Below are 13,425 nucleotides of genomic sequence, written 5' to 3'. Positions count from 1 at the left end.
ATCAACAGAATATACATTCTTCTCAGCACCACATCGCACTTATTACAAAATTGACCACATAGTCGGAAGTAAAGTACTCCTCAGCAAATGTAAAAGAACAGAAATTATAACAAACTGTCTCTCAGACCACAGTGCAATCAAACTATAACTCAGGATGAAGAAACTCACTCAAAACCGCTCAACTACATGGAAACTGAACAATCTGCTCCTGAATGACTACTGGGTACATAATGAAATGAAGGCAGAAATAAAGATGTTCTTTGAAACCAATGAGAACACAGACACAACATACCAGAATCTCTGGGACACATTTAAAGCAGTGTGTAGAGGAAATTTATAGCACTAAATGCCCACAAGACAAAGCAGGAAAGATCTAAAATTGACACCCTAACATCACATCAAAAGAACTAGAGAAGCAAGAGCAAACACATTCAAAAGCTAGCAGAAGGCAAGAAGTAACTAAAATCAGAGCAGAACTGAAGGAGATAGAGACACAAAAAACCCTTCAAAAAAATCAATGAATCCAGGAGCTGGTTTTTTGAAAAGATCAACAAAATTGACAGACCGCTAGCAAGACTAGTAAAGAAGAAAAGAGAGAAGAATCAAACAGATGCAATAAAAAATGATACAGGGGATATCACCACCGATCCCACAGAAATACAAATTACCATCAAAGAATATTATAAACACCTCTACGCAAATAAACTAGAAAATCTAGAAGAAATGGATAACTTCCTGGACACATACACCCTCCCAAGACTAAACCAGGAAGAAGTTGAATCCCTGAATAGACAAATAACAGGCTCTAAAATTGAGGCAATAATTAATAGCCTACCAACCAAAAAAAGTCCAGGACCAGACGGATTCACAGCTGAATTCTACCAGAGGTACGAGGAGGAGCTGGTACCATTCCTTCTGAAACTATTCCAATCAATAGAAAAAGAGGGAATCCTCCCTACTCATTTTATGAGGCCAGCATCATCCTGATACCAAAGCCTGGCAGAGACACAACAAAAAAAAGATAATTTTAGACAAACATCCCTGATGAACATTGATGCAAAAATCCTCAATAAAATACTGGCAAACTGAATCCAGCAGCACATCAAAAAGCTTATCAACCATGATCAAGTGGGCTTCATCCCTGGGATGCAAGGTTGGCTCAACATATGCAAATCAATAAACATAATCCAGCATATAAACAGAACCAAAGACAAAAACCACATGATTATCTCAATAGATGCAGAAAAGGCCTTTGACAAAAATCAACAGCCCTTCATGCTAAAAACTCTCAATAAACTAGGTATTGATGGGACGTATCTCAAAATAATAAGAGCTATTTATGACAAACCCAGAGCCAATGTCATACTGAATGGGCGAAAATGGGAAGCATTCCCTTTGAAAACTGGCACAAGACAGGGATGCCCTTTCTCACCACTCCTATTCAACATAGTGTTGGAAGTTCTGGCCGGGTGTCAGGCAGGAGAAAGAAATAAAGGGTATTCAGTTAGGAAAAGAGGAAGTCAAATTGTCCCTGTTTGCAGATGACATGATTGTATATTTAGAAAACCCCATTGTCTCAGCCCAAAATCTCCTTAAGCTGATAAGCAACTTCAGCAAAGTCTCAGGATACAAAATCAATCTGCAAAAATCACAAGCATTCCTATACACCAATAACAGACAAACAGAGAGCCAAATCATGAGTGAACTCCCATTCACTATTGCTTCAAAGAGAATAAAGTACCTAGGAATCCAACTTACAAGGGATGTGAAGGACCTCTTCAAGGAGAACTACAAACCACTGCTCAACGAAATAAAAGAGGACACAAACAAATGGAAGAACATTCCATGCTCATGGATAGGAAGAATCAATATCGTGAAAATGGCCATACTGCCCAAGGTAATTTATAGATTCAGTGCCATCCCCATCAAGCTACCAATGACTTTCTTCACAGAATTGGAAAAAAACTACTTTAAAGTTCATATGGAACCAAAAAAGAGCCCACATTGTCAAGACGATCCTAAGCCAAAAGAACAAAGCTGGAGGCATCACGCTACCTGACTTCAAACTATACTACAAGGCTACAGTAACCAAAACAGCATGGTACTGGTACCAAAACAGAGATATAGGCCAATGGAACAGAACAGAACAGAGCCCTCAGAAATAATACCACACATCTACAACAATATGTTCTTTGACAAACCTGACAAAAACAAGAAATGGGGGAAGGATTCCCTATTTAATAAATGGTGCTGGGAAAACTGGCTAGCCATATGTAGAAAGCTGAAACTGGATCCCTTCCTTACACCTTATACAAAAATTAATTCAAGATAGATTAAAGACTTAAATGTTAGACCTAAAACCATAAAAACCCTAGAAGAAAACCTAGGCAATACCATTCAGGCTGTAGGCATGTGCAAGGACTTCATGACTAAAACACCAAAAGCAACAGCAACAAAAGCCAAAATTGACAAATGGGATCTAATTAAACTAAAGAGCTTCTGCACAGCAAAAGAAACTACCATCAGAGTGAACAGGCAACCTAAAGAATGGGAGAAAATTTTTACAATCTACCCATCTGACAAAGGGCTAATATCCAGAATCTACAAAGAACTTAAACAAATTTACAAGAAAAAATCAAACAACCCCATCAAAAAGTGGGTGAAGGATATGAACAGACACTTCTCAAAAGAAGACATTTATGCAGCCAAAAGACACATGAAAAAATGCTCAGCATCACTGGCCATCAGAGAAATGCAAATCAAAACCACAATGAGATACCATCTCACACCAGTCAGAATGGCGATCATTAAAAAATCAGGAAACAACAGGTGCTGGAGAGGATGTGGAGAAATAGGAACACCTTTACACTGTTGGTGGGACTGTAAACTGGTTCAACCATTGTGGAAGACAGTGTGGTGATTTCTCAAGGATCTAGAACTAGAAATACCATTTGACCCAGCCAAACCATTACTGGGTATATACCCAAAGGATTATAAATCATGCCGCTATAAAGACACATGCACATATATGTTTATTGCGGCACTATTCACAATAGCAAAGACCAATGGAACCAACCCAAATGTCCATCAACAATAGACTGGATTAAGAAAATGTGGCACATATACACCATGGAATACTATGCAGCCATAAAAAAGGATTTCATGTCCTTTGTAGGGACATGGACGAAGCTGGAAACCATCATTCTCGGCAAACTATTGCAAGGACAGAAAACCAAACACCACATGTTCTCGCTCATAGGTGGGAAGTGAACAATGAGAACACTTGGACACAGGATGGGGAACATCACACACTGGGGCCTGTTGTGGGGTGGGGGGAGGGGGGAGGGATAGCATTAGGAGATATACCTAATGTAAATGATGAGTTAATAGGTGCGGCACACCAACATGGCACATGTATGCATATGTAACAAACCTGCATGTTGTGCACATGTACCCTAGAACTTAAAGTATATTTAAAAAAAGATAATGTTACCTTGGAAACAAATTTCCTATTTGCTGTGGTACTGTATCTCTTACCCTCCTTCCTGCAAAGATTCATCTATATTCCCTGCCTCCACTGGCTCACTTCCCATTTACTCTTCAATCCATTAAGATCCCAATTCCAGTGTTTATCTCCAGTGTTGAAGATACTCTCACAGGTACACATATACTTCTACATTATTAATGTCCATGATACAGGCTTTAAAACATGAAGCATCTTCCACAGCCACTGCCCCTTTTTGAGGAAAGCAGTCCTTACCAGTTCTTTATGAAGAAGTAGTCATGTTCTGGGTACCATATTACTTTGTTTCCCTGGCTACAGCTGACTGGGCCCCAGGGGGGTGAGGCAACACAAGTGATTCAATAGCTACCAATCTATGGACTATGAGGTCCCTCTCTAATTAGAAACATGGGGATAAACTAGGCCAATCAGATTCTCTCTTGAAAGAGCTGGTCTAGAGATGGTAATATGGAAGTGCATCCAAGGTGTGTAGACCTCCATAGAGTAACAAAGAATTAGGTTGATGGCAGACTGCCTGTAGACAGACCAGGGTGCACCTCCTATTGAGGATGTAACAAAATATCCTGATTGCAAGAGTTGCGTTATATCCTGAGCTCCTAGTTTCTGAACTGCAGTCCATTCTTTATGAGGCCTGGCATTCCTTGGTTCCTATTCTCTCAGAACCTGGTTGCATGAGTAGAGTTTCTGTCTACTTCATTTTCTGAGTGTATAGTTATAATTAAGCAAATTGATTTCTTGATTTCTTTGTCAAGAGAACCTGAATGAACATTTCTTAGCTAGCAAAAAGCCCACCTAGCAACCATTATATTACATGTGTAATATTTGACTCTGCAGATCACTACCTCCTTCTAGAAGTTCTCTCTCTCGGCTTATGTAATACAACTCTTCCAGATGTTCCTTCTACTAATGAAGCTATTTCTTCTCTTCCTTCCTGCCATCTCTATTTACTCATTTCAACCCTTAAAAATGGTTCTTCCTCAGGCATCCCATTGCCTACTTTTGTTCAGTCTATATACTCTGTCTGAAGAACTATATATATGTTCATGGCTCCAACCTCCATTTGAATCCTAATGACAGTTGTTTGCTGGATACCTTATCTTCTTTTGGATGTACCACAAGATCCTCAAATTCCACATGGTTAAGACAAAAATTATCATTATTTTGCATAAAATAGCTCTTTGTCTTGTATTCCTTCCATCAATAGTTGATATAATTGTTATCCTAAATCCCCCAGTGAGTAACCTGATTCTAAGTCCAGTCACTATTCTTACTTACTCCATGATTTAACTTCTCTCCAGTATGTCTTCACTACTCCCGGCCTCTATCACTGCTTATTCAGGGTTTTTTCCCCCGACTCCCCAGTGACTTGGGTGTTCCTGCTCTGTGTTCTCATAGTATCTACTGAATACCTCTTTCAAAGAACCACCTATTGTACTGAGAGGGTTGACTTTCTCATCTGTCTCCTCCAAAAATGTAAGTTCCCCATGGGTAGAGGACCAGTTTTAAAATCTAACACAATGCTGGCCAACTATAGGTACTTACTACTATTTTTTGAGTGGATAAATAAGTAAAAAGTCAGAATTGCCTGTACCATACACAAAAATGAAGAAGATCCAGCCTTCAAATTATATCAAAACCAACTCAACTAAGAATGGGAAATGTGATATTGGACAATAGAAGTGTTGGTTTGTAATCTCCAAACTTCTCCCCAAAGACACTACAGACAAACACTTTTAACTTAACTCTATTCTCATCATCTTCTTATACTCTTTCTTTACAATATCTTCATGCAACTCTTATTTGACTTCTCACTTGTATACTCCTACCAAACCAAGCCCTGGTTCTGGAGTTAATGGCCATAGCTAATATTGCAGAGTTGTGATAACTTCACCTATTAAGATTCTGTTCATTCCATATGTACAGAGGCCTTTACTTTGCATACAATGGGCTTGCTAAAGAATAACCTTAGTAACCTCTTTAGCCTTAAAATTGACCAACTACCCCACCCCATCCCAGATGGCAGATGAGAGGCTTTTAGTTTGCCTCAGCCACTTGGAGATAGCAAGACAATGCATAAAGATCAACTCTGTGAACTTTCATTCAAGAAGGAAAATAGGAATCTACTGGAATCTTGAAGAACAAACCAGAATCCAGGGAGAAAAATGCCAGCAAACAGCCCCTGTGATGGTGTCTGGCTGATAAAAATGAGTAAAACCCCAGTACATGAGAGAGGCAGAAAGCCTCCCTCTGAAGCTCACCTTTCCAGTGGAGATCCAAGCAACCCAGGCCAAGGGGGAACACTTTGTTTCTCCCAAGCCCTAGTGCTAACTTGGGGAAAGGATTGAAGATGTTGTAAGAGAAAGACACCACAAAAAGCTCAATACATTTTCCCCAGGCTAGCCTAGGACCAAGAGCAGGGTGCCATTTTTAATGCAGGACCACATAAAGTCAAGAATTCTTTGCTGACCTAGCAGCATGACTGTGTTGGTATTTTAGTCTTGGACCAGAGGCTGGAGCAAGACTTGCTTTGGAGTGGGGTAGGGGCCTCCACAGCCCGAACTGTAGAAGGCACCTCAGCAGTAGGTGCTAGAATTGTGCTCCTCACATTGCAAGCCTCAGGCAGAAGGAGAGCTGCTACAGCTGTAGTTTCTCTTGGGCAGTGAGACTTGCCAGCTTGGCAACGTGGAACTGGTCTGCATCTACCATTGCTGGGTGCCCCAGCTTGCTCCTCTGAGATTGTGGTATAGCAGGGCACTCTCCATTTCACCCTCAGGCAGAAATCCAGGCATTTGGAGCACCCACTTGTGTGGTTTCGCAGCCTGAGCCGCACCACCCTTCCTGGGCATAGACTGTGGTACAGCAGAGCTCTTGCCGCTCCATTCACAGGCAGACATCCAGGCATTCAGAGCACCCACTCACCTGTATCAGCAGCCTGACATGCCCCATCCTTCCTGTGCAGAGATCCTGGTACAGGGAGGCCCTCTCTGCTTCACATGCAGGCAAATCTCCAGGCATTTAGAGCACCCACTCATTTAGTTCAGCAGCCTGAACTACCCCACCCTTCCTATGCAGAGATCCAGATGCAGAGAGGCCCTTTCTGCTCCATGCCCAGGCAAATCTCCAGGATGCTTGCCTTAGTCATCCTGCCCCTCCCGAGCAGAGAACTTGGTGTAGGGAGACCTTCTCTGCTCCACACTCAGGCACATCTCCAGGCATTCACATCACCCACCCAACTGGAACAGTGGCCTAAACTTCCCCAGCCTTCTTGTGCAGAGATCCTGGGTGCAAGGGGCCCTCTCTACCCCATAACCAGGCAGACCTCCAGGCATCTGGAGTACCTATTCTCCTAGGAGTTTAAACTACCCCTCAGTCCCACATAGAGAACTTAGGCCAAGGAGGTTTCCCAGCACCATGCCTAGGCACACCTCTGGGTGCTCAGTGGCTGCTCACTGTACCCACCCTCAGCACTGGTGCTCATGCCTGCCATCGGGGCCCCTGGAGGAGGACCTGCCTGGTCTAGCCCTGCCCATCTTGGCCCCCAACCCCACAGGGCTGAGGAGGGAGCTCAGACCACTGTGCACTCCACAGCTTAGCCCATTGCCTGAGGAAACAGAGGGCTTCTCCTAGTAAGCAAGGATCAAGTATATATCCAACCATGTTGGCTGCAGCTGGCTCTTACCTATAAGCGCCATCTACAAGCTTGTAGGTCAAACTGCAGAGCCCAATATAAAACCTGCCATCAGAAGTGCATGGGGCTATAGAAACAAAGCCAAAAGACCCTACCCAGCATTCTCTACAGTCACATCACCTAGGAAGGGAGGGAATGGTAAAGAAAAAAATAATATTATAGGCAAGAAAGAAAAAGAAAAATCCTACCCACACTAAAATAATTATAAAAATTAGAAGTGCTAGCATCTCCAGATGAGAAGGAACCACTGCAAGAATTCTGGCACCATGAGGAATTTGAATGTGGTGACAGCATCAAAGGATCACACTAGCTCTCCAGCAATGGCTCCTGACAAAAATGGAAACTCAGAAATGACAGATTTGAAAGCATGGATTGCAAGGAAGCTCAACCTCCAAGACAAGGTTGAACATCAACACAAAGAAACTTCTAAAGCAATCAAGGAAATGAAGGAAGAGGTAAACATCTTTAAAAAAAAAATCAAACAGAGCTTCTGGAATTTAAAACCTCACTTAAGGAATTTCAAAATATAATTGACAGATTTATCAATAGACTGGACCAAGCAGAAGAAAGAATTTCAGAGCCTGAAGACTGGTCTTTCAAACTAACCAAGTCAGACAAAAATAAAGAAAAAAATAATTTTAAAAAATGAATAAAGTTGTCAAGAAATATTATGTAAAGTGACCAAACTTACAAATGATTGGCATTCCTGAGACAGAAGGAGAAAGAGTAAATAACCTGGAAAAAAAAATTTGAGGAAATCATTCAAGAAAATTTCCCTTATCTTGCTAGAGAGGTACACATCCAGATACAAGAAATCCAGAGAACACCTGCCAGATACTACACAAAATGACTGTCATCAAGGCATACAGTCACTAGGCTATCCGAGGTCGACACTAAAGAAAAAAATCTTAAAAGCAGCTCACTTACAAAGGGAGCCCCATCAGGCTAACAGTGGACTTCTCAGCATAAACCTTATAAGCCAGGAGAGATTGGGGGCCTATTTTCAGCATTCCTAAGGAAAAAGAGTTCCAACCAAGAATTTCATATCCCACCAAACTAAGCTTCATAAGTGAAGGGAAAATCTTTTCCGGGCAAGCAAATGCTAAAGGAATTCATTACCACTAGACAAGTCTTACAACAGTTCCTTAAGAGAGTTCTAAACATAGAAATGAAATAATGAAAACTGCTACCACAAAAACACACTTAAGGACATAGCCCACAGACCCTATCAAGCAGCCTCACAATAGAAACTACAAAGCAACCAACTAACAATTTCTCGATAGGATCAAAACCTCATCTATCAATATTAACCTAGAATGTAAATGGTCTAAATGCTTCACTTAAAAGGCAAAGAGTGGCAAGTTGGATAAATAATACCCATCCATCTATTGTCATCAAGAGACCTATCTTACACATAAGGCTATCTTACACACCCATAGGCTCAAAGTAAAGACTTGGAGGAAGATCCACCACACAAAAGAAGGCAAAAAGAGAGCACAAGTTGCTTCCCATCTTTATATCAGCCACAATATACTTTAAACCAACAACAGTAAAAAAGGACAAAGACAGGCATTACATAATGATAAAGAGTTCAATTCTATAAGAAGATTTAACTATCCTAAATATATATACATCCAACATTGGACCACCCAGATTCATAAAACAAGTACTTTTAGACATATGAAAAGATGTACACAGCCACACAATAATAGTGGGGAACTTCAACATCTCACTGACAGCATTAGACAAATAATCAAGGCAGAAAACTAACAAAGAAATTCTGGACTTAAATTTCACAGTTGACCAAATGGACCCAAAAGACATCTACAAAATATGCCATTCATTACCACAGATGATACATTCTTCTCATCTATACATGGAACTTACCTAAGATTGACCACATGCTTGTCCATAAAGCAAGTCTCAATAATTTTTTTAAAAAATCAAAATCAAACCAACCACACTCTGGGACTACAGTGGAACAAAATTAGAAATCAGTACGAAGAAGACCTCTCAAAGCCAAGGGCAAATGAAAGAACTTGCCCCTGAATGACTTCTGATTAAATAATGAAATTAAGGCAGAAATCAAAAAATTATTTGAAATAAATGAAAATAGAGTCACAACCTACCAAAATCTCTGGGACATAGCAAAAACAGTGATAAGAGGAAAGTTTATAGCACTAAAAACCTACCTCAAAAGGTTAGAAAGATCTCAAATTAACAATCTAATCTCACACCTAGAGGAAGTAGAGAAACAGGAACAAACTAACCCCTAATCTAGCAGATAAATAACTAAAATCAAGGCAGAACCAAACAAAACTGAGACCCCAAAATCCAAACAAAGAATTAGTAAAATCCAAAGTTGGTTCTTTGAAAGGATAAACAAGATCAATAGACTGCTAGCTAGATTAACAAAAAAAAGAGAGAAGATCCAAATATGTACAATCAGAAATGACAAAGGTGACATTACAACTGATCTCATAGAAATACAAAAGATCCTCAGAGACTAATATGCACACCTCTATGCGTGCAAACTAGAAAAAAACTAGAGAAAATGAATAAATTTCTGGAAACACATAACCTCCCAAAATCGAATCAGGAAGAAGTTGAAACCCCAAACAGACCAATATCAAGTTCTGAAATTGAAGCAATAATTTTAAAAACTACCAATCAGAAAAAGCCCCAGACCAGATGAATTCACAGCTGAATTCTACCTGATGTACAAAGAAGAGATGGTACCAATTCTACTGAAACTATCCCCAAAAAATCAATGACTGTGGTCCCATTCTATGAATCTAACATCACCCTGATACCAAAACCTGGCAAAGACACAACAAAAAATGAAACCACAGGCCAATCATCAACAAAATATTAGCAAACCAGATCCAACAGGACACAAAAAAAGTTAATTTGCCATGATCAAGTAGGCTTCATTGCTAGGATGCAAGGTTGACTCAACATACACAAATCAATAAATGTGCTTCACCACATAAACATAAAATCAAAACCAAAAACCATATGATCTCCATGGAAAAAGCTTTCAAAAAAATCCAACATCCCTTCATGACAAAAACCCTCAAGAAACTTGGCATTGAATGAACATACATCAAAATAGTCATAGCCATCTATGACAAACCTACAGCCAACCTCATACTGAACAAGCAAAAACTGGAAGCATTCCCCTTGAGAACTGGAACAAGACCAGGATGTCTACTCTCACCACTCCTATTCAATACAGTACTGGAAATGCTAGCCAGAGCAATCAGGCAAGACAAAGAAATAAAATATATCCAAATAAGAAAAGTAGTCAAACTATCTCTCTTTAAGGACGGTATGATTCTACACCTAGAAAACCCAAAAAACTCCATCACAGGCTCCTGAAACTGATAAACAAGTTCACTAAAGTTTCAGGACACAAAATCCATGTACAAAAATCAGCAGCATTTCTATACACCAATAATGTTCAAGCTGAGAGCCAAATCAAGAAAATAATCCCATTTACAAAAACCACCACACACAAACAAAATACCCAAGACTACATCTAACCAAGGACAAAAAAGAGCTCTACAAGGAGAACTATAAAACAGTGCTAAAAGAAATCATACATTAAACAAACAAATGAAAAAATATTCCATACTCACGGATTCTAAGAATCAGTATCATTTAAATGACCATAGAGCCCAAAGCAATCTACATATTCAATGCCATTCCTATCAAACTATCAACATCATTTTTCACAGAAGAGAAGAAAAAACTATTCTAAAGTTCATATGGAACCAAAAAAGAGCCCAAATAGCCAAAGTAAGCCAAGCAAAAGGAACAAAGCTGGAGGCATCACATTACGTGACTTCAAACTATATTATAAGGCTACAGTAACTAACAAAAACAGCATGGTATTGGTACAAAAACAGAAATATAGAACAATGGAACAGAATACAGAATGCAGAAATAAAGTTGCATACCTATAGCCATCTGATCTTCCTCAAAGTTAACTAAAATAAGCAATGGGGAAAGGATTCCCTATTCAATACCTGGAACTGGGATAGTTGTCTAGCCATATACAGAAGAATGAAACTGGAACCCTACCTTTCACGATATACAAAAATTAACTCAAGATGGATTAAAGATTTAAATGTAAGACCTCATACTATAACAATCCTACAAGAAAACAGGAAATGCCATTCTAGACATTGCATTTGGGAAATAATTTATAATTAAGTCCTCAAAAGCAATTGCAACACAAACAAAAATTGAAAAGTGGGACCTAATTAAAATAAGAGCTTCTGCACAGCAAAAGAAATATCAACAGAATAAACAGATGACCTATGGAATGGGAGAAAATATTCACATACTACACATCCAACAAAGGTCTAATACCTAGAATCTATAAGGAACATAAACATTTGAGCAAGTAAAATACAAATAACCCCATTAAAAAATGGGCAAAAGACAGCAACAGACACATCTGTTGAAGACATACAAGTGGCCAACAAACATATGAAAAAATGCTCCACATCACTAATCATCAGTGAAAGGCAAATCAAAACCACAATAAGATACTATCTCACACCAGTCAGAATGGCTATTATTAGAGTCAAAAAACAACAGATGCTGGTGAGGCTGCAGAGAAGAAGGAACATTTATACATTGTTGGCGGGAATGTAAATTAGTTCAGCCACTGTGGAAAGCAGTTTGGAGATTTCTCAAAGACCTAAAACCAGAGCTTCCATTTGACCTAGCAATCCCATTACTAGGTATGTATCCAAAAGAAAATAAATCTACTTGGGAGGCTGAGGTGGGAGGATTGCTTGGGCCTGGGAGGTTGAGGCTACAGTGAGCCATGATTGTGCCATTGCACTCCAGCCTGGGTGACCAAACCAGACCCTGTCTCAAAGAAAAAAAAAAAGAAAAGAAATCATTCTACCAAAAAGACAGATGTGCTCATATGTTCATCACAGAACTATTCACAATAGCAAAGTCATGGAATCAACCTAGGTGCCTATGAAAGATGGATTAGATCAAGAAAATGTGGTATATATACACCATGGAATACTACATAGACATAAAAAAGAATGAAATCATGTACTTCGCAGCAACATGGATGCAGCTGGAGGCTATTATGCTAGGCAAATTAATGTCAGGACAAAAAAACCAAATACCATATGTTCTCACATATAAATAAGTGGGAGCCAAACATTGGGTACTCAGGAACATATGGCAACAATAGAAACTGGGGGCTACTAGAGAGGGTAGGGAGGTTGACAAGGGCTAAAAAACTAACTGTTGAGTACTATGCTCAGTACCTGGGTGATGGGATCATTCATATCCCAAACCTCAGCATCACACAACATACCCAGATAACAAACCTGCACATATACCCCCTGAATCTAAAATACAAGTTGAAAAAAACATTGACCTACTATCTTCATGAGCTGTTGACTCAAAAGGAAGGATTTGTGAAAGAGCTTGAGGAACCAAAACCTAGTATGGTACTTCTTTAACCATACTAGGTTAAAGTAACCTCTTTAAGTTAATTCTAGATTCTGCTGATGGTAGAAAAATAAGTTACTTTTTTGGGTGTGTGTACGTGTGTGTGAAAGAGAGAGCACACACACACACTTGTATATATAGAATAAAATATAGTGTTACCATTGCCCATTTTGATTTGCCCACACTAATAGAAAATATCATTGGCATATATGGTAAAAAATAACAGATATTGTAAAGTTTACTTCAGAAGGAAAAATCATAGATGGAAACACCAAATATGAGCTAAAGCTGACTTAGCACTTACAATATTCAGGTAGTATTAAGCACTTCACAAGCATTATTTTATGTAATCTTCATAACAACCTTGTTTATAAGAGAAAACTGAGGCTCTGCTGCATTTGAGTCATCTTTGCAAGTAACAGAACTAGGGTTGAAAATCAGGTATGTTAATTTGCAAAATCCATGTTTTTGATAGCAATAACCCACTACCTGCCAAATTTATCTTGTCCAGTCCAACTTCCCAAGTTTCCAGATGAGAAAACCGAGGCCCAACAGTATAAAATGTTTGACCAAGGTCCACAGTTCGTTAGGTACAGAGTCAGGAACAGGCATGAATTGTCTGGGGGTATTTTGCCTTGTCATTGAAATATATGACTCCTGGAGACAAATATTAACAAGTAAAAGGACAAGTCTGGGAAGTGAGCAAGATAAAGTCATATGCTTT

At 39.4% G+C, this 13,425-nt stretch overlaps 1 protein-coding gene across 17 annotated transcripts in view, besides 1 other annotated feature; it reads right to left on the bottom strand.

Moving 5' to 3' along the window:
- The window catches only part of SUGCT (succinyl-CoA:glutarate-CoA transferase), a 903,812-nt gene that overhangs the window by 216,571 nt on the left and 673,816 nt on the right, over positions 1-13,425 (bottom strand). The window lies entirely within an intron of this gene.
- Positions 6,476-6,976: an enhancer, noted in NCBI's record as "H3K27ac hESC enhancer chr7:40854869-40855369 (GRCh37/hg19 assembly coordinates)". NCBI's record gives its function as "activates a minimal SCP1, AML or CMV promoter by ChIP-STARR-seq in naive and primed H9 embryonic stem cells {active_cell/tissue: H9 hESC(naive and primed)}" and the evidence as "EXISTENCE:reporter gene assay evidence [ECO:0000049][PMID:30033119]".

This window comes from Homo sapiens, chromosome 7 (genome assembly GCF_000001405.40).
Source record: "Homo sapiens chromosome 7, GRCh38.p14 Primary Assembly".
Classification (NCBI taxonomy): Eukaryota; Metazoa; Chordata; class Mammalia; order Primates; family Hominidae; genus Homo; species Homo sapiens.
The sequence above is the reverse complement of the archived record's forward strand: the minus strand, read 5'-3'. Positions and strand labels throughout refer to the sequence as shown.